At 38.4% G+C, this 22,964-nt stretch overlaps 1 protein-coding gene across 2 annotated transcripts in view; it reads left to right on the top strand.

Moving 5' to 3' along the window:
- The window catches only part of RBKS (ribokinase), a 109,009-nt gene that overhangs the window by 3,733 nt on the left and 82,312 nt on the right, over positions 1-22,964 (top strand). The window contains exon 2 of one of the 2 annotated variants that reach the window (NM_001287580.2): positions 15,765-16,883. The exons of the other annotated variant lie outside the window; for it this stretch is intronic. The gene's annotated coding sequence lies outside the window, so the exon portion shown is untranslated. The remainder of the gene's footprint in view (positions 1-15,764; positions 16,884-22,964) is intronic. 2 annotated transcript variants of the gene reach the window in all.

Raw genomic sequence — 22,964 nt, 5'->3', positions numbered from 1 at the left:
CGATCCTCCTACTTGGTGTCCCAAAGTGCTGGGGTTACAGGCGTGAGCCACCGTGCCTGGCCCCAATTCGTACCTTTCCATTATATCATTCTACCTCTAACTCTGACTAGTGTTTATTGCCCTTTTCATCTACAGTACATTTGATAGCTTGTAGTCTGTACATTCATTGTTAACTTTATAAACTGATAAGGAATAACAACTAAGGATTTATAATTTTCAAGTCTAAAGATAGTATCTTTATTACTGTGCCTTATTCCTAAATTTAACTGTAACTAGCCTGGACACGCATGCCTATTCTTTAGTATCACTTCAGAAATAAAACTGCTTCAATAACTAAGCCCTTTTAGATGGCATCCAAGCCCAACTTACTTTATATATTACATTACTGTGTGCCAGACACTGCTAATTCAATCAATGAATAACCTTTTTTTTCATTTCTAATTTCAGTCAGCTATGAATAGTAAGTCGTATGTAGTAATAATTTTTAAAAATCATTAGCTCATACAGCATGGCAAACAATTGAAATTATTTAATACTCACTTATATTTTTCTCATCATCCTCTTCCTTCTTGAACACTCATCTCTAAAGTTACACATTACAAAGATACAAGGAATCAACCCTGGTCTTATGGGATATAAAGTCAAAGATTTTCCAAAGACAGATTTCCACAACAAAACAACAATGTGTGAATATTTTTAGACGTTAGGCTCATAGGCCTTTGTTAATCATGTTTTCATTAGTAAACCTTATTTTTTATGACCTGTATCACCCATTTTTTTAATTATTCATTCAAGAAATATTTATTGAATTTATACTATGTGCCAGGCACTTCCTGATGTGCAGAGGATACAGCAGTGAAAACACAGACAAAAATCCCTGCCTCATGAAGTTTACATTCTAGTAAGACAGTATCAGTAGAAATAAGTTAATTACATAGTAAGTTAGGTAAAAGCTAAGGAGAAAAATTAAACATGTAAGGAGGGATGGGAATAGGAAGTTTAGATTACTGGCTTCAGAAAGCCTCACTGAAAAGGTTATTTAGAGTAAAGACCTAAAGGAGGAAAGAAAACAAGTCATAATCTGAGGGAAGAGCATTCCAGGCAGAAGGAATAGTGTACTCAAAGGCCGTATTCAGTGAAGAACATGGAGTCCAGTATGGATGAAGAAGAAAAAAAGAGTCAGGAGACAGCAATCAGTGATTAAAGGACATTGAGTCATACTTTGGATGAGATGAAAAGCTAGTGGAGGATTTGAGCAGGGGAGTGACATAATCTTATTTTGATTATAATAGGATCTCTCCAAGGGCTATATGAGAATAAATAGCATGAAGGGGAAGGCAAATACAGAAGCAGGGACACAAATTCAGAGTCAATCCCAACAATCTAGGCAAGAAATGATGGTAGCTTGAAAGCAGTGAAGTGGAGAGAAAGCATCTTTCTATTATATTTTTGGGGTAGAGTTGACAGGATTAGTGGAAGTTGACCTCTATGAAAACGCAGAAGATTGTATGCAGAGAAAGTTGGGTGGGAGAGGGCTGTATCAGGAGCACAGAGTGGAATTGGGAGGGTTGAGGTACCTACTAGATATCAAATTGAGGAGGTGAAGAAAATAGATACAAGAGTTTGGATCTCAAAGGAGAGGTCCAACCCGGAGATATAAATTTCAGAGTCATCAGTGTATCAATGGTATTTAAAGCCATGAGGCTGGATGAGATCACTGAGGGTCTGACCTCCTAGGGCACTACAACATTTAAAGGATAAATTTTTAATAAAATTGACTTCCTGTCTCTCTTCAAGTCTCTCTGCAGTCCTAAAACTTGCTTTGAGACGTGCTTAATACAAACCTATGTTTATATTTCCATAGCAATAGACTCTGATGTCAACTAAAACTCTGTGTTATCTTTTTACATGCTGCCAATTAAAAGTGATGGCTTGAGAGATAAGACTCGTGTTCACCCAAGCATCTAAGCTTAATCCTGCCAAATCAGGAAATGAGTGCCTAATTTTCAAAAGGTTTAATTGGATAGTGGAATAAGTGAATTTAGAAGCTTTTAGATCCAAAGCGGATGAAGCATTGGACCTAGATTACTTAAAAAAAAAAAGTTATGGCCAGGCATAGTGGTGGCTCAAGCCTATAATCCCAGCACTTTGGGAAGCCAAGCGGGTGGATCGCTTGAGCTCAGGAGTTAAGACTAGCCTGGGCAACATGGCAAAACCCGGTCTCCGCAAAAAATACACAAATTAGCTGGGCGTAGTGGTGTGAGCCTGTAGTCCCAGCTACTGGGGGGCTGAGGTGGGAGGATCGCTGGAGACCCAGAGGTTGAGGCTACAGTGAGCCTCGATTGTACACTGTACTTCAGCCTGGACAACAGAGTGAGACCCTGTTAAACATAAAAAAATAAAAGAGAGTTATACTGTACCTATCAAAGTTTGTATTTGTTTGACATAATAGAGTACTTTGTAACTGGGACACAGGTTACAGAGTCAAGAAGCCTCTTGGCTTGTCATATTTAGAACAGAGAAATCTCTTTTACAGTCACATTTTCAAAAACTAAAAAAGGAATATTGATCCAAAAAGTATCATGCTTTCCCAGTATTCGAGGAATATAATATCCTTCATTATTCTTTCTGCTTCTTAAATTGGTCTGAAAAGTTGCTTATCAGTTACCAATCATTTATTAAATTAGTATTTTGTTAAACATAGTTGTGTCAACTGTATTCCCTAATATCAAAAGTAATCATTCATGGGAAATTTGGTATGTCCCTTTAATGAAAATATACATTAAAAAATTATGGCTGGGTGCAGTGGCTCATGCCTGTAATCCCAGCACTTTGGGAGGCCGATGTGGGAGGATTGTTTGAACCCAGGAGTTTAAGACCAGCCTAGGTAACAGGGTGATGAGACTCTGTCTCTTAAAAAAAAAAAAAATTGCATATGACAAAGAAAGAGCACCTACTGTGTACTATTACAAAGCAGTCCCTTTAGCAATCCATTCCTTTGCCAGCTCTCTGTGCCTTAGGCTTTTCATGTCTGTAACCTAAGGAGAACAAAGTAAGGTGGACTTTGTGATGAGTTTTGCTCTAGTATTTTGATGACTTGTTTATAATGCTGAAATACTTATAGTGTGCTAAACACTAAGAATACTGCAGTTAGGAGGCTGGGCGTGGTGTCTCACGCCTGTAATCCCAGCACTTTGGGAGGCCGAGGCGGGCAGATCACGAGGTCAGGAGATCGAGACCATCCTGGCTAATACGGTGAAACCCCATCTCTACTAAAAATGCAAACAACTAGCTGGGCGTGGTGGCAGACGCCTGTAGTCCCAGCTACTCGGGAGGCTGAGGCAGGAGAATGGTGTGAACCAGGGAGGCGGAGCTTGCAGTGAGCTGAGATCGTGCCACTGCACTCCAGCCTGGGTGACAGAGCGAGACTCCGTCTCAAAAAAAAAAAAAAAAAGAATACTGCAGTTAGGAAAACATGGTTACTGCTTGTCTTGTCTTAGTCCCTTTTGTGCTGCCATAACAGAATACCTAAGACTGGGTGATTTATCTTTTTTCACTTTTATTTTAAGTTCAGAGGTACATGTGCAGGTTTGTTATATAGGTAAACTCATGTCACACGGGTTTGTTGTACCCAGGCATTATTATTTTTTTTTTGTCACCCAGGTATTAAGCCTAGTTCTCATTAGTTATTTTTCCTGATCCTCTTCCCTCCTTTCACCCTCCACCCTCAGGTAGACCCCAGTGTGTGTTGTTCACTTCTGTGTGTCCAGGTGTTCTCATCATTTAGCTCCCACTTATAAGTAAGAACATGCAGTATTTAGCTTTCTGTACCTGTGTTAGTGTGCTAAGGATAATGGCCTCCAGCTCCATCATGTTCTGGCAAAGTACATGATGTCGTTCTTTTTAACAACTGTGTAGTATTCCATAGTGTATATGTACCACATTTTCTTTATCCAGTCTACCATTGATGGGCATTTAGGTTGATTCCATGTCTTTGCTATTGTGAATAGTGCTGTAATGAACATACACATGCATGTGTCTTTGTTACAGAATGATTTATATTCCTGTGAGTATATACCCAGTAATGGGATTGCTGGGTCAAATGGTAATTCTGTTTTTAGCTTCTGAAGGAATTGCAACCCTGATTTCCACAATGGTTGAACTAATTTACACTCCCACCAACAGTGTATAAGCATTCCTTTTTCTCCGCAGCCTTGCCAGCATCTGTTAATTTTTGACTGTTTAGTAATAGTCATTCTGACTGGTATGAGATGGTATCTCATTGTGGTTTTGATTTGTATTTCGCTAATGATCAGTGATGTTGAGCTTTTTTTGATATGCTTATTGCAAATAAAATAAAATGTATGTCTTCTTTAGAAAAGTGTTTGTTCATGTTCTTTGCCCACTTTTTAATGGGGTTGTTTTTTTTTCTTGTAGATTTGTTTAAGTTCCTTTTAGGTGCTGAATATTAGACCTTTGTCAGATGCATAGTTTGCAAAAATTTTCTCCCATTCTGTAGGTTGTCTGTTTACTCAATAGTTTCTTTTACTGTACAGAAGCTTTTAGTTTTCTTTAGTTTAATTAGATCTCATTTGTCAATTTTTGCTTTTGTTGCAATTGCTTTTGGCATTTTGCCATGAAATTTTTGCCTGTGCTATGTCCAGAGTGGTATTGCCTAGGTTGTCTTCCAGGGTTTTTATAGTTTTAGGTTTTACATTTGTCTTTAATTCATCTTCAGTCGATTTTTGTATATGGTGTAAGAAAGGGGTCCAGTTTCAGTCTTCTGCACGTGCCTAGCCAGTTATTCCAGCACTATCTGTTGAATAGGGAGTCCTTTCTCCATTGCTTGTTTTTATCTGTTTTGTCAAAGATCAGATGGTTGTAGGTATGTGGCCTTATTTTGGGGGCTCTTTATTCTGTTCCATTGGTTTATATGTCTGTTTTTGTACCAGTACCATGCTGTTTTGGTTACTGTAGCCCTGAAGTATAGTTTGAAGTCAGGTAGTGTGATGCCTCCAGCTTTCTTTTTCCTTAGGATTGCCTTGGCTATTCAGGCTCTTTTTTGGTTCCATATGAATTTTTATTTTATTTTATTTTATTTATTTATTTATTTTGAGACAGAGTCTCACTCTGTCACCCAGGCTGGAGTGTAGTGGCACAATCTTGGCTCACTGCAGCCTCTGCCTCCCAGATTCAAGCAATTCTCCTGCCTCAGCCTCCCGAGTAACTGGGACTACAGGCCCACACCACTACGGCTGGCTAATTTTTGTATTTTTAGTAGAGACGGGGTTTCGCCATGTTGACCAGGCTGGTCTCAATCTCCTGACCTCGGGTGATTTGCCAGTCTCAACCTCCCAAAGTGCTGGGATTACAGAGGTGAGCCACTGTGCCTGGCCTTATTTTTCTTGAGACAGGATCTTGCTCTTTCCCCCAGGCTGGAGTGCAGCAGTGTGAAAGTGGCTTACTGCAGCCTCAACTTCCAGGCTCCAGCAATCCCCCGACATTAACCTCCCAAATAGCTGGAACCGCAGGCACACACCAGCATGCCCAGCTAATTTCTGTTTTTTTGTTTGTTTGTTTGTTTGTTTGTTGGTTGGTTGGTTTGCAGAGATGGGGTTTTGCCATGTTGCTCAGGCTAGTCTCGAACTCCTGGGCTGAAGCAACCCACCCACCTCAGCCTCCCAAAGTGCTGGGATTACAGGTGTGAGCCATCGTGTGCAGCCCCATTTGAATTTTAAAATACTTTTTTCTAGTTCTGTGATGAATGTCATGGTAGCTTAATAAGAATAGCATTGAATCTGTAAATTGCTTTGGGCAATATGGCCATTTTAATGATATTGATTCTTCCTGTCCATGAGCATGGAATGTTTTTTCTATTTGTTTGTGTCATCTCTGATTTCTTCAATCAATATTTTGTAGTTTTCATTGTAGAGATTTTTCATCTCCCTGGATAGCTGTATTTCTAGGTATTTTATTTTGTGTATGTGGTAATTGTGGATGGGATTATGTTCTTAATTAGGCTTTGGCTTGACTCTTGGTGTATAGGAATGCTGGTGATTTTTTGTATCTTGATTTTGTATCCTGAGACTTTGCTGAAGTTGTTTATCAGCTTAAGGAGCTTTTGGGCCAAGATTATGGGGTTTCCTAGGTATAGAATCATGCAAATAGGGATAGTTTGACTTCCTCTCTTCCTACTTGGATGCCTTTTATTTCTTTCTCTTGCCTGGTTACTCTGGCAAGGACTTCCAATACTATATTGAATAGGAGTGGTGAGAGGAGGCATCCTCGTCTTGTGCTGGTTTTCAAAGGAAATGCTTCCAGCTTTTTCCCATTCAGTATGATGTTGGCTGTGGGTTTGTCATAGATGGTTCTTATTATTTTGAGATATGGTCCTTCAATACCTAGTTTATTGAGAGTTTTTAACATGAAGCAGTGTTCATTTTATGGAAAGCCTTTTCTACAACTATTGAGATAATCGTGTGGCTTTTGCCTTTAGTTCTGTTTATGTGATGAATCACAGTTACTGATTTGCATATGTCAAACCAACCTTGCATCCCAGGGAAAAGTCTACTTGATCATGGTGGATTCGCTTTTTGATGTGCTGCTGGATTCAATTTTCTTTTTTTCTTTTGCCAGGTTTTGGTATCAAGATGATGCTGGCCTCATAGAATGAGTTAGGGAGGAGTCCCTCCTCCTCAGTTTTTTGGAATAGTTTCAGTAGGAATGGTACTAGCTCTTCTTTGTACATCTGATAGAATTTGGCTGTGAATTCATCTGCTCCTGGCCTATTTTTTAGTTGGTAGGCTATTTATTACTGATTCAGTTTCGGAGCTCATTGTTGGTCTGTTCAAGGATTCAGTTTCTTCCTGGTTCTGTCTTGGGAGGGTGTATGTGTCCAGGAATTTATCCATTTCTTCTGACTTTTCTAGTTTGTGTGCATAGAGGTGTTTATAATATTCTCTGATGGTTATTTGTATTTCTGTGGGGTCAGTGGTAATATCCCCTTTAAGACTGGATAATTTGCAACGAACAGAAATGTGTTGGCTCGTGGTTCTCTCCACAATGGAGAGTCCAAGATCAAGGGCATCTGGTGAGATTGCTATATCATTCCATGGTAGAAGAATAAAGCAGGTTGAGGGGAAGAGAGAGAGGTAAAAGGGGGCTAAACTTGTCCTTTTATTAGGAACTCACTCCCTTGATAACAAACCCACTCCCATGATAATGGCATTAATCCATTCATGAGAACAGAGCTCTCATGACCTAAACTCCACTTAAAAGTCTCACCTCCCAGTGCCATTTCACTGGCAATTAAATTTCAACAGGAGTTTAGGAGGGAACAAACATTTGAACCATAGCACTGCTCTTGGGGAATTTACAGTCCAGAGAAGAAGGCAGACTCAAAAAGAGATTATTATAGTATGACATGGTAAGTGCCTGCAGGTTATGCGAGAGAACAGGGAAAACTTCCTAGAAGAGATGCCCCCGAGCCAAATTTTCAAAAATAAGCAGGTGGTAACCCAGAAAAAAAGGGGAAGGAAGACATTCCACCACTTGGGGTTACACACAGAAGCAAAATCATGGATGTGCTTGTGTGGTATGTGCTGAGGCACATATGGCTTGCATGGTATCTGCTGAGGCAGCAACCCTTGGGTCTTAGAACATCAGGATATACAGTGGTGATGAAAGGCCTAATCAGCCATGCTGAGGTGCTTAGGTTTTATTCTTTAGGCCCTGGAAACCAGTGAAGGGCTCAAAGTACAAGAATGACAGCCAGAACAACCCCATCAAAAAGTGGGCAAAGGATATGAACAGACACTTCTCAAAAGAAGACATTTATGCAGCCAAAAGACACATGAAAAAATGCTCATCATCACTGGCCATCAGAGAAATGCAAATCAAAACCATAATGAGATACCATCTCACACCAGTTAGAATGGCAATCATTAAAAAGTCAGGAAACAACAGGTGCTGGAGAGGATGTGGAGAAATAGAAACACTTTTACACTGTTGGTGGGACTGTAAACTAGTTCAACCATTGTGGAAGTCAGTGTGGCGATTCCTCAGGGATCTAGAACTAGAAATACCATTTGACCCAGCCATCCCATTACTGGGTATATATCCAAAGGACTATAAATCATGCTGCTATAAAGACACATGCACACTTATGTTTATTGCGGTACTATTCACAATAGCAAAGACTTGGAACCAACCCAAATGTCCAACAATGATAGACTGGATTAAGAAAATGTGGCACATATACACCATGGAATACTATGCAGCCATAAAAAATGATGAGTTCATGTCCTTTGTAGGGACATGGATGAAATTGGAAATCATCATTCTCAGTAAACTATCGCAAGAACAAAAAGCAAACACCACATATTCTCACTCATAGGTGGGAACTGAACAATGAGAACACATGGACACAGGAAGGGGAACATCACACTCTGGGGACTGTTGTGGGGTGGGGGCAGGGGGGAGGGATAGCATTAGGAGATATACCTAATGCTAAATGACGAGTTAATGGGTGCAGCACACCAGCATGGCACATGTATACATATGTAACTAACCTGCACATTGTGCACATGTACCGTAAAACTTAAAGTATAATAATAATTAAAAAAAATAAAAAATAAAAATAAACTGATTAAAGGCAAAAAAAAAGAATGACAGCCAGATTTATATTTCACGTAGTTCACTTAGTGCTAAAGTCAGATTTAAAAGAAGCCAATGTTTTAAAGGCATCAAAGGCATTCTTCTTGAAGACAGGAAGACCTATTTGAAAGGTAAAACAGTAGTATTCACAAATGTTGATGATGGTGCGAACTAGGACAGTAGTGCTGGGAATCAAAAAGAGGAAAAAGCTTAAAGAAATATTTAGGGGCTAAAATAGTTGGAAACAACTGTTTAGTAAAGTGGGCATGAATCAAGCATTCACTCTCTGATCTTTTATAAGGAAACACTAATGTTGAAACTTTATTTTCCCACATTGACAAGACCTAGAAGGTAGAGTCCTTGGAAAGAATCCCATCTTATGGAACAAAAGCATTCCATGCTTACTACTTTTATTGGGGGGGCAGGGGCGGTTATATTCCTTAAAAATCAAAATAAATGGTATCAAATAATTAAGAGATAGTCAAATTCTCTCTAAGGGAAAAAATCCTAATTTTGTTTTGAGATTTAAGAAAAAATACAGGTATTCTTTCATAATTGTAATGGAGACGCTAATGACAAATTTAGCTCAAAAAATTTACAAATATTAACTGGAGGCAATGAAATGACAGAAGATATAAACATAAAAAAGAATGTTAAAATACAAAATAGAATCTTCCATATACCAATACAGCATTCTTAGGGGAAAAAAAAAAACTACACAAAGCTCAACCACCCATGTAACAAAGATATTTATAATGTGTAAAGTGTTGTCGGGGACTTAGAGACTGTGGAACTAGAGAATATCAGAGTAGCAAAGAAACTTGAGTTCATTTTTGTGTTGAAATGACCACCCTGTTCATGTTAAATATAGGAAGCACAAGTCTAGAAAGAATTAACTGATTTTCCCCCAGCTAATACCTAATTAAGATTGGAGCCAGGATTAAAGTTTTTACCTTTTGGCTCTCAAGTACTAACACATTGTGTTATTGTGAAGTTTTGAGTAGCATTTCAGAAGTTTGACATGTACTGGATTTGCAAGAGACAAAGTGTTCAAAAGTGCTAGTAAGGACCGATTTCCTTGAAAAAGAAAACAAAGCTAATATTGCAATTATCAATATCAGAGTACTTAGTATTATTGTCCTTTAGAATTTTTTTCAGACCTGCAATTTTTATTATATATGCATAATATAACATTTACCATTTTTAATTTACAATTCATTGGCATTAAGTACATCCACATTTTTTTACAAACATCACCACTAATCATTTCCAAAACTTTTTTCATCTTCCTAAATGGAAATGATGTTCTTATTAAACAATAACTCCCTATCCCCTCCTCCCCTCAGCCCCTGGCAACTACTATTCTACTTTCTATCCCTATGAATTTGACTACTTTAGGTACATTATATAAGTGGAATTATGCAGTGTTTGCCGTTATGTGACTTACTTATTTCACTTAGCATAACGTCCTCAAGAAAGGGTAAGTGAACTTGAAGACATAGTAATAGAGATTATCTAAATTTAAGCATAAAGAAAAAATGCACAGAGCCTCTGTAACCTGTGGAACAGTCTACCATATGTATAATTGGAGTCAAAGTATCTCATATAGGTGGAGTCTTTGTAACTGGCTTACTTCACTTAGCATAATATTTTCAAAGTTTATCCATGTTGTAGCATGTTTCAGAATTTTCTTCCTTTTAAGGCTGAAAAATACTCCATTTATGTACATTACACATTTTGTTTATTCATCTATCAGTGGACATTTGGGTTGCTTCTACCTTTGGGTATTGTGAACAATGCTGCTATTAACATGGGAATACAAATACCTGTTTGAGCCCCTGTTTTCAGTTCTTTTGAGTATATACCCAAAAGTGGGATTGCTGGATCATATGGTAATTCTATGTTTAATTTTTTTGAGGACCCACCATATTGTTTTCCATAACAGCAACACTGCTTTTCCTTTTAGTTTCTTGCATCTTCTTTGTAAAGTCCCTATTCTGCATCTTACTCACCAAGCCTCCTTTTCTTATTTCAGTTTAGCCTATTTTTTTTGTTTCGTCTCCCATTTGTAATCCCTCTTTTATGTCCTCTTATGCAATTTTGCATCCCCATATGTATGTATATCTGTCATGTCTAAGTATACGTTTGTGCAAGAGGAAAAATGTGTCTGTACAGGCAAGGAGCTCAGTAAACCTCATACCTTCTCTGCCACCCTCAATCTCAGCCCCAGCATTTTTGTGGCCATTTAATACTCTGTTACGTAGAGATACAAAAATTTGTTGATTCAGTGCCCTAAATAAATACTTTTAAGTTGGTTCTGTTTGCTATGATGAACTTCTTTGAACACTTATCTTTTGGACTCATGTCTGTTTCCTTAGGTAAATTCCTAGAGCTGGAATTTCTAGGCCAAAGGAAATAACATTCTTGTTTTTGTTTTGTTTTATTTTGAGTCAAGGTCTAGTTCTGTCACCCAGGCCGGAATGCAGTGTTGCGATCGCAGCTCACTGCAGCCTTGACCTTCCAGGCTCAATCAATCCTCCCACCTCAGCCTTCTGAGTAGCTGGGACTACAGGTGCATACCACCATGCCCAACTAATTTTTATATTTTATTTTTGGTTGAGACAAGGTCTCGCCATGTTGCCCAGGCTGCTCTCGAACTCCTAACCTAAAGCTATCTGCCCACCTTGGCCTCCCAAAGTGCAGTGATTACAGACGTGAGACACCATACCTGGCTGGAAATAACATTTTTTAAACTTTTGAAATATATTGCCTATTTGCCTTCATAAAAGTTCTTCTGAAATACACTCCTACTCACAGTGTATGAAAAAGGCCTATTTCCTGGATTTTTAACGAACACATTACTAGTTGAGAGATGTTAAATGTTTTCATGTTTGATTACAAGAGGAGATGTTGAATGTTTTCCAGATGTTTGTTAGTTATTTGTGTTTCTTTTGTGAGTTGCCAGCCATGGGTCCTTTGTCCATTTTTCTGTTGGACACTCCTTAAGATTTTAAACAAGACAGTTCAAAGAAAAGAAAATGTAAAGATGCTGGTTAAGAGTTCTGCAGCAAAGAAGCTAATAGTATAAGAGTGAAAGGAGAATTTTAAGACTCTGGCTAGCATAAAATATTGTGGAAATATGGATGAGAGAGATTCTCAACCCTGGTTGCCCTTTAGAGTCAGTTAAACCAGCCTCTCCAGGGAGGGAATCCAGGCATCAATTTTTGTTTTTTAAACTCCCCATAAATTTTAATGTTCCACAGGGGTAGACAAAAAGTGACTTACTGATAAAAGCAGGAACTATGAAGTAGAGTGAATGTGACAAAATACTGTAGCAATTTGGAGAAATTAACCTTTAAGAGAAAGGGGTTGGAGTTATTCCTGATCAAGGGGAGTCATGATTGGCACAGATAAACACATCAGCGTATAAGTGGCATCATACCTGGTTATCCAGTCTCTCTGCTGTGGTAATACAGAGTCTTCACTCTTGACGACGTGTTGTGTCACATGATGCTGTCCAGTGATATCAGTTCTTGAATGATGTGAGTTCCGCCCAGGACAGTTGCCTCCTAGTTGAGTGGCTGCACCTTCCTCCATTCTGACAGTGATTGTACAATGTTAAAACTAAGCTGTAAGCTAAGTGAGGACAGGGTCTGAATATCTCCAGAACTTCACACAGAGTCTGGAATGTAGTAATTGTAACAAATATATGCGGAGAATGGACTGAGTATCATAAAAAGGATCTGAGATTATTCCAATTTCTTCCATAGTTATCATACTAAATCAAGATTTTCTTCATTGAATACAATTTTAATCACTTTTTAGTACTTTCTACACAGTGATGAACAACTTTTTTGTCATATGATCTTCAAGGACAAGTTTTCTTTGAATTGTAGAAGGTTCCTCTTATGACAACTGATTGAAGACACGTTTGAGGCCTTAAATTCTTCATATGAGCATTTAAAATATTTCTATCTGCCTTGCCTTACCTTCTTTATGATTTTTATATCACTAGTTTGACTTGGAGTGTTTCTTGTATACATACAGAAGGCTGCTATAAATTATCTCTGTTTGTATATGGTTGATGTGTTTTCTAAATAAAAGCTGAGAGTTTTGTTTTTGCTTTGGGTTTGGGGTTTTTTGTTTCAGGGTGTTTTGTTTTTTTTTTGTTTGTTTCCCAGATACATCACATATTAGGTACTGGCTTGTCTCTCATGGTCAAAAATACGTTCAAATGCAATTCTTCTGTATCATTGCAGAAAATAATTTGTGCAACAGTTTTTTAAGTACCCTTTAAAAATTATATTTTACATCTGGATTTTTACCACCAGTTTAAAAAATTACAATTCATACACTGTTATAGCAACAATATTGGTTTTTTCTGAGTTAGAGGTCTTCATTTTGAAGTGAGAAATACAAACCTACATTTTTAGTTACCTAAATTTTCAACCAAATACTCTGCCAAAAGTCTTTTAGAAACTCAATTTTAAAGTCCTTCAGGCTGTCTCAATGAAAATCATAAGCAGTTCTTTGGTATTCTGTCAAGACCATAAAGAAAATAGAGTATTATCTAAAATGTTTCTTTTAAGCCATTTGAAATTATCACAGTACCTTGCTCAAAGTAGTTACTCAGTGAACATTTGTGGAGGGAAGGAGGGAATGCTTGCATGCCACAGTTGCCCAAGAATAGCAGCTGTGTAGAATGTCTGTGTGGGGACCCCGATTCCAGCAGAACTTTAACCCTATTGACAGCTGCAACAAGGAAACTGCATTATTTAACTGGTTAGTTATTTGGGTTGTAATGAGCAGAGGATCATTTCAGTTACTTCAAGAATGGATACTTGTTTGCAAGGTGACCCAGAATTAGCTTAACAGCCAGGTCTCAGGAAGAGCAGGAACCAGGGAAGGTTCCTAGGAAATGGATTGTTCTTTAATTTTTACCCCAGTGCTCCATCATTACCCTGGCCCCACTGCCCTCCTCATGTGTGTTCCATACCCTCACTCCTCTCCCCATTTGCAGGCTTTCTCTGCGAGTATAGCACCTGCTCATTCCCAACCCTGCCAGTGTTTTGCCTTTACTGGCCTCCTTTACCCCTCTGCATCCATTCAAGCTTCTGCTTCCACCACAAATTGCTTCCTTCTTGCCATGTTTCTTATTTGATGGGTGTTCAGCTGTGGTGTTTCATATACATTCATTAAGCTAGGCTGACTTTCTGTCTGCTTGACGTTTTGCTTACCTAGGGAATTGCATTAACATCACCTACCGTGATGGTGGATTTGACAATTTCTTGTTGTTGTTATATATTTTTTTGGTTTTATGTATTTTACGGCTAATTTATTGGTTATACTTAGACTTGAATTATTACATTTTCCTGCCGAGTTTAACCTTTTTTCTCCCTTTCCTGTGGTGCTGATGAATTTAACCTTTTGATTAAAGTGAGTTACCATATTTTATCTGTCTTTGCCTTAAGCTTTTTTATTTTTTAATTTTTGGCTGATATTGATAAAGCTATCCAGGTTTGTTTTAGTTGCTATTTGCCTTGTATATCTTTTCCTGTCTTTTTTTCTTTTCACCCTTCAATGTGTCTCATAAACAGCGCATACCTGAATTTTAGTCTTTTGTTGGCTTGTTTTATTTATTAATTTTTTTTATAACTGCACTACTTTTTTCTTTTTACTAGAGAATGTAATCCAGTCACATTTGTTGGGAGTTCTGATTTATTTGAATTTATTTTAAATGTGTTACGTTACAATAAACGGCTCTTTAGAACACTATTTTTCAAGCTCATTAAGCCTGTAGAGCAGGGGTCCCCAACCCCTGGGCCACAGACCAGTACTGATCTGTGGTGTGTTAAGAACCAGGCTGCAAAGCAGGAGGTGAGTGGCAGGCAAGTGAGCAAAGCTTCATCTGTATTTACAGCCACTCCCCATTGCTCACATTACCTCCTAAGCTCCACCTCCTGTCAGATCAGCAGTAGCATTAGTTTCTCATAGTAGCGTGAACCCTATCGTGAACTGCACATGCAAGGGATCTAGGCTGTGCACTGGTTTTGAGAATCTAACGCCTGATGATCTAAGGTGGAGCTGAGGCACTGATGCTAGCATTGAGGAGCAGCTGCAAATACAGATTAACATTAGCAGAGAGGTTTGACTGCACAGAGACCATCATAAATCAACTGCTTGCAGACTTATATCAAAACCCTATCAGTGAGTGGCAAATGACAATTAAGCTGTATCTGGTGGCAGGCTTAACTTTATAGTGGCAAGTGAGTTGATGTACTTCAGTTGTACAGCTGCATCTGGTAGCAGGCCTTAAGTCAGAATCCAACAGTTATTTTAGCCCACACATGGCCCACCCATTATTTTATTTACCATGCCTCTTTCTCACACTGCACACTTGTCTCAGTCACAGTTTTGGTAAGCCCATGAGCTAATCCTAGCCAAATTAGTAAAAAATAAACGTCACTGGAGAGCTTCTTTGAAAAGGGGGGAAAGACCCAATGATGAGACAGCAGAAGACTTTTAAGACTGGCAACAAAATGAAAGCTGCATTTAAAAGAAAATACCAAGAGTCCTATTTAAATTACGGGTGCATTGAACCTGCTTTGTATAATATGTGGTAACTAGCTATCCAACGAAGCCATGAAACCTTCAAAACTGCTTTGCTACATGGAGACCAAGCACCTCGCATTAAAAAACAAGCTTTTGGGTTTTTTTGTTTGTTTGTTTGTTTGTTTTAGTGAACACGAAGAACAGAAGCAATCATTGAAGGCCACAGCTTCATCAAATGTGTCTGTACTGAGAGTATCATTGTTAGTGGCTAAATGCATTGCTAAAGCTAAGAAGTCCTTTACTGTTGGTGAAGAGTTGACCCTGCCTGCTGCTAAGGACATTTGTCTTGAACTTTTAGGAGATCTTGCAGTTAAAAAGGTGGCACAAGTTCCTCATTCAGCTGGCACCATAACTAGACAAATTGATGAAATAGCAGAGGACATTGAGGCACAATTGTTAGAGTGGATTAATGAGTCACTGTGATACGCAGTCCAGGTTGATGAGTCTACCGATGTTGACAAGGCAACAATGCTTGTTTTGTGTAATGTATTTTTCAGGAGGATGTGCATGAGGATATGTTATGTGCACTTTTGTTGCCAGCCCACACCACAGCTGCAGAACTGTTCAAGTCTTTGCGTGATTACATGTCAGGAAAACTGAACTGGTCATTTTGTGTGAGTATATGCATGGACAGAGTGGCTGCCATGGCTGGACAGCTTCTGGTTTCACTACTCACATCAAAGAGGTTGCTTCTGAATGTGAGTCTACACACCATGTCATCCATAGAGAAATGCTGGCTAGCCAAAAAATGTCACCTGAACTTAACAGCATTTTGCAGGATGTGATTAAAATTATCAACCACGTTAAAGTACATGCCCTTAACTCACGTCTCTTCGCACAGCTCTGTGAGGAGGTGGGTGCAGTGCACACATGTCTTCTCTCACACACACAAGTGAGATGGCTTTCTAAAGGTAGATCACTGATCAGAGTTTTTGAGTTACAAGAGCCACTCCGGAGATTTCTTTTAGAAAAACAGTCACCACTGGCAGCACATTTCAGTGACACAGAATGGGTTGCAAACCTGGCTTCCTTGTGTGACATATTCAACCTGCTCAACGAACTCGATCTGTCACTTCAGGGGAGAATGACAACTGTGTTCAAATTGTCAGATAAAGGGGCTGCATTCAAAGCCAAACTGGAATTATGGGGGTGACAAGTGAACATGGGGATTTCTGACATGTTTCAAACATTAGCAGATATTTTGAAAGAGACTGAACCAGGGCCTTCTTTCCCCCAGCTGGTGCATGATCACCTATCTCAGCTTTTAAAGGAGTTTGAGCATTACTTCCCAACCACAAAAGACCCCCCAGACTGGGAAGGAATGGATCTGCAACCCATTTGTGGATAAGCCAAGGTGAATCGACTTTGTCCGTGCTGGAAAAGGACCAACTGCTTGAGATCGCAAATGACGGTGGCCTTAAAAGTATGTTGAAACAGCTTCAAATCTTCACACAGTCCGGATTGAAGTCAAGGCATAATATCCAGAGACTGCCCCAAAAGCACTGAAAAGCTTGCTTCCATTTCCAACACCCTATCTTTGTGAAGCAGAGTTTTCTGCAGTAACAGCAACCAAAACGAGATTATGGAGTAGACTGGACATAAACAACACACTTCAGGTATCACTGTCTCCCGTCACCCCCAGATAGGACCGTCTAGTTGCAGGAAAACAAGCTCAGGGCTCCTACTGATTCAACATTATGATGAGTTGTATAATTATTCCATTATATATTACACTGTAATAATAATAGAAATAAAGTGCACAATAAATGGAATGTGCTTGGATCATCCCAAAACCATTTCCTCCCCCTGGTCCCTGGAAAAATTGTCTTCCACAAAACCAGTCCCTGGTGCCAAAAAGGCTGGGGACCACTGCTGTAGAGCACAGGTAAGTCACACTTTTTGTGGAATACCACAGAACATTAAGCTTAAGTTAACTATATTCATACTTCCCATGAAATTGTATGCTCTCTTCTGCTAGACTATAGGTTACATAAAGAATACTGCACTCGGGTTTAAGAAGAAAAGTTAAATTTGATAACATAGTGTCCATTCACTTAATGCCTTCTGAATTAAGTAGGAAAGGAGCACCATTATTTGGCCTTGCTGTCTCAGCATCTTGGTTCAGCTTGAAGAACACCAGTGTTCTTCAGAAGTATAATTACTATTAAATAAAAATTACACAATAAATTATAAAATCCTAAAATATAAATAGGTCCAAGGAGCTTTAGGTACATTTCTGGATAATATTTTGTAAGTTTTGGAGTCAGATCAACCTTGCTTTGAATCCTGGCCCTGCCATCTTCTACTGGGTGAACATGGATATGTTTTGTAATCTCTCTGATTTTCATTCTCCTTATCTGTGAAATAGGATCAAAATAATAATAACTTTCTCATGGGGTTATTGTAATGATTAAGTGAATTGATAGTTATAAAGTGTTTAGTGCAGTATTTATCATATAATAAGTCCTCTAGAAATATCTGCCATTATTAATGTATTAGTTATTTCAATTGGACTTACTATATTAGGACTCCCAAAGGAGATGATTGTCTGAGTTGAATTTTAAAGGATTTGAATGGATTAGCTCAGCTGAGAAGCAAAGGAAAGAACTTTCAGGCATAAAGAATAGGCTATGCAAAGATATTTGAAATACAAGTAAGATTTTAAGAATGAACAGTGTCAAGAGACCACGAGGAAAGCCACCATTCTTTCCTGTGTAACATCACCTAGTGACACACTCAAAACAAGAAGTGGTGGAAAGGGATGAAATATAGGTTGTTTTTAGTATAGAATTATTGTTTCTTATGCTCTTATATAAATGACTGTTAAGTAAATATTTGTGTGTTTTATGTATTGAATATCCAACATTATAGTCAAAATTGAAAGAATACCAATTGTCAAAGAAAGTAGCATATTGTGGTTAAAAACTATAGCAATGGAGTCAGAAGAGCTGAATTAAAAATTAGCTCAACCCCTAACAGCTATGTGTTTTTTTGATAAGCCAATACCTTTTGAACTCTCACTTTTTCCCTAAAACAGATGATGATAATGCCTACCCTAGATCATCTTACAAATATATTGTTAAGCTCAAAATAACATAATGAGTTCTTGATTATATATGATCACCAAAAATAGTAGATAAATTAAAATTTAATAATTGATTCCAGATTACATTATTTTGTCTTATGCTGATTTATCCTTCTAATTATATTTTGCTTAGGATAAAATTAAAATCTGTTTTTATTTCTTTAAACTACACCAGCAGATGGCAAAAAGATGTAACCCAGATAATTATAATGTAGTGACAGAAGTCATTCTGGAATTTAAAATTTACTATAATTAATTGGCAAAATAGAAAATAAAATATTGGTTTTGTAGTTATTTGTCACTGTCATTTTTATTATTTTACAAATGCATACTTTTCTTGTCTTCAGTGAATTTAAAAGCAGTTCATCAGGAACTTTTGACAAATGACTTTGTTCCACCAAACCCTTTCTGCTCTGTTTTTCAGCATTCTGATTTTCCCACTTTCCAGTTCTTGTACACATACCTTTGCCATCCAAAATAGTTGTCCAATCCCCACTTCCTAATCCCCTATACATACATATACATTTTGCCTGCCCTTGCCTCTTGCAATCTCTAATTCCAAAATTAGCTCATTCCCCACCTCCCTATCCAACCTTTTTTCTTCCTCTAGGACTGAGCTCAGCTGGAAGGAAGTATATATATATAATTATCCAAAAAGATTTGCTGAGCTTAGGTAGTATTTTAATTTTTATGTGTATGTTTAATATTTTGAGTGATAAGCCTCTCCTGACACCTTGTATACTCAGCCCTCCATGCCATACTGGAAGAATAAAAAGGATGTGCCCCTTTTCGTCCCCATTTTTCTGACCATATTCCCAACTAAGTTTATAAAGACTCCCGTCACATAACTTCATTTTCAATTCGGAAATTTCATAACTGGCTTACTTTTTCCCTTGGGCCTCTGTCATACATAGCACTTTTGCCCTGTTCTCACCCCATTGTATTATTTATTATGTACCTAGGCATCTGTCTTCTCAACTTTCTATAATATAATTTCTTTTAAGCTGTAGACCGTTCATTCAAAAATATTTACTTCTGCCCATGTTGGAGTAACTAGTGAGCATCCAGAGATCACTAGACATGCAAAGAATCAGGAAAATGTGATCTATAACCAAGAGTGGGGAGAAAACCACTCAGTCAAAATAAACACAGAAAAACAGGGATGGTGGAATTAGCAAAAAGGCATTTTTTTTTTTTTTGAGACAGGGTCTTACTCTGTCACTCAGGCTGGAGTGCAGTGGTGCAATCAGAGCTCACTGCAGCCTCAACCTCCTAGGCACAAGCAATCCTCCTGCCCCAGCCTCCCAAGTAGCTGCGACCACAGGTGCACGCCACCATACCCAGCTAATTTTTAAATTATTTGTAGAGACAAGGTCTCACTATGTTGCCCAGGCTGGTCTCAAACTCTTGAGCTCAAACAATCCTCCCACCTCAGCCTTTTAAAATGTTGGGATTACAGGCATGAGCAACCATGCCCAGCCAGAAAGGGATTTTAAAAGACCTGTTACAAATATGCTCAGTGATTTAAAGAAAAAGATGAACAGAAGAAAAATGGAAGATCTATAGATGAACCAAATTCCAGGTCTAAAAAATGAAAAATGCAATATCTGAAATAAAAAATCCACTGGATGAGCCTAATAGCAGAGTGAACATGACAGAAGAAAGGATAAGTGAACTTGAAAAACTAGTAAAAGAGATTATCTAAACTGAAGCACAGAGAAAAAAAATGCACAGTGTCTGTGACCTGTGGAACAGCCTACCATATATGTCACTGGAGTCTAAGAATAAAAGGAGAGAGAAGCAGAGAGGCACTAAAAGCGTTTGAAAAAATAATGGCTGAAATTTTTTAAACTTGATGCAAACTATGCAAACAATGAACATCCAGCAGGATGAGCATGATATAAACTACATCAGAGCACATTGTGATCAAATTCCTGCAAATCAGTTATAAACAGAGACTCTTAAAAGCATCCAGAGGTTAAGAAAAAAAAGGTACACATTACATATAGAGGAACAAAGATTGATTGCAGACTTCCTGTCAGAAACAAGATGCAAGTCAGAAGAAAATAAAATCTTTAAAGTGCTTGAAAACTAAACTGTCAACATGGAATTCTATATCTTTCCAATATAAAGGGGAAAGATAAAGACTTCCTAAAGACTTTTTAGGAAAATAAAAGAATTTATCACCAGAAAACTCACACTATAATAAATGTTAAAGGAAGTTCCTTTAGGTGGAACCAAAATGATTCCAGATGGAAACCCAGATCCACCCAAAGGAATGAAGACCCCCAGAAATGGTAAATATATGGGTAAATACAAAGACTTTTTCTTCACTTCTCAATTTCTTTAAAAGGCAATTGACATTTAAAATTAATAAAGTAATAACAGTATTGTGACGTTTACATCATGTGGAAGTAAAATGTATGACAATAGCACAAAGGTTAGGAAGGGGAAATGGAAGAATATGTAAAGTAGATTACATTTTTAAGTAAAGTGGTATGGTACTGTTTGAAAATAAAGTGTGATCAGTTTAAGATGCATATTGTAAACCCTAGATCAACCACTTTTAAAATACTAGGGGAAAAAATCAGCCAGGCATGGTGACTTATGCCTGTAATCCCAACACTTTGAGAGGCCAAGGTAGGAGGCTCACTTTAGGCCAGGAGTTCAAGACCAGCCCTGGGCAACTTACTGAGATTTGTCTCTACCAAAAAAAAAAAAAAAAAAAAAAGGAGGAGGAGAAGGGAAGGTAGAATATAACACACAAACAGGGAACGTAAAATGGAATACAGTTAATCCAAAAGAAAGCAGGAAAAGAAGGAAATGAGTATTGTAATGTCATGTAGTGATATTGCTATGAAGAAAATTGTTGGGAAGCAATGCTTCATGAATGTTTTCATGTTTCTGCATGATCAGGACTTTCTGAGCAAAGATTTCTGGCACCGGATTAAAGAATTTTGTTTGTTTGTTTGTTTGTTTGTTTGAGAAGGAGTCTCGCTCTGTCGCCCAGGCTGCAGTTCAGTGGCGCGATCTCGGCTCACTGCAACCTCCGCCTCCTGGGTTCACGCCATTCTCCTGCCTCAGCCTCCCGAGTAACTGGGACTACAGGTGCCTGCCACCACGCCTGGCTAATTTTTTGTATTTTTAGTAGAGATGAGGTTTCACCGTGTTAGCCAGGATGGTCTTGATCTCCTGACCTCGTGATCTGCCCACCTCAGCCTCCCAAAGTGCTGGGATTACAGGCGTGAGCCGTCGCGCCCGGCCTAAAGAATGTTTGAATGGCAAACAAGCCTTGGAAGTTAAAGACCTGTGGAGAGATTCAGAGACTTCTCCCCAAGATAATTTGTTTTCCTTCTGAAGGTTGTAAACCTAGAGACCCTCCCCTTCTCTCCCTGAGAGGATTTGTTTACAAAGCAAAGGTCAGTAGGTCATGTGCAGGTGATGCATGCTGCTTCTTCCCCCACCCCAGAGGGGAGAAGGAGCAGCAGCTGTGTGTGAAATGTCCTATATAGGCTCCAAAATTTACTATTAGGGAGTTATTCTTATCATGTAACCTTGTGGGGGACTGGAGAACTAAAGTATAAGTATTTAAATGCTGTCTCTGATTCAAAAACCTGGTTTTTTTTTTTCTCAGAATGAATGAGTCAATACTTAAAAATTATATTAAGAAGGGAGTGTCTCCTATAAGGTGGTCTGGGAAGTCCTCTCTAAAGAGGTAACATTTGAGCAGAGATGTGAATGAAGTCAGCCCTGTAAGACTGTAACATGGGAGAAGACCATATGTACTAATCTTTATTGTCTCTCTCATTGCCTGGTACACTTTTTCACACATAAGTAAGTTTTAAATAAATAGGGCTCAAGGATATGACATTGTGAAAGGCTGGTCACTTCTGGCTAGAGTGTTGTTTGTCCACTCTACAAATTCCAGAGTAGCTGCATCTTCAGACAAAATGACATTTTAGTCGCAGACATTTTAGCTAGGAAAAGATATGAGTTTCACGCCTGTAATATCAGTGCTTTGGGAGGCCAAGGTGGGAGGATTGCTTGAGGCCAGGAGTTCAAGAGTAGCCTGGGCAACATAGCGAGACCCCATTTCTACAAAAAAAAAATTAGTTGGGCATGGTTGTGTGCCCCCGTAGTCCTAGCTAATCAGAAGGCCAAGGCAGGAGGATTGCTTGAGCCCAGGAGTTCGAGGTTACAGTGAGCTGTGGTTGTACCACTGCACTCCAGCCTGGGCAACAGAGCAAGACCCTGTCTCTTAAAAAAAAAAGATATGGGTTAGTAATCAAAATCAGTTAAAAACTGCATAAAGCATAATTTATGTTTCATTACCTTAAATAAATAACATATACGTCTGCAAATGAAGGGTTAGGGAACATAGAATGAATTTTTAGTTGGGAGATTTTTTTACAGAGGTAGAAATAGATGTCACTCACTTGATTTTGAAATTACTCTCAGCCTTTTAAATGTGGCATATACAAATGCTGAGAAGAATAAATATGGTTGAAGAATACAGGCAGTAAGAATAATAAATTAGTGTAATGAATTTTAATTGGGTAATAATTAATAGTACAATCTCCTGTTATAGAGGCTTCTGTTGTCAGAAGCTTGC

Source organism: Homo sapiens, chromosome 2 (genome assembly GCF_000001405.40).
Source record: "Homo sapiens chromosome 2, GRCh38.p14 Primary Assembly".
Lineage (NCBI taxonomy): Eukaryota > Metazoa > Chordata > Mammalia > Primates > Hominidae > Homo > Homo sapiens.
The sequence above is the reverse complement of the archived record's forward strand: the minus strand, read 5'-3'. Positions and strand labels throughout refer to the sequence as shown.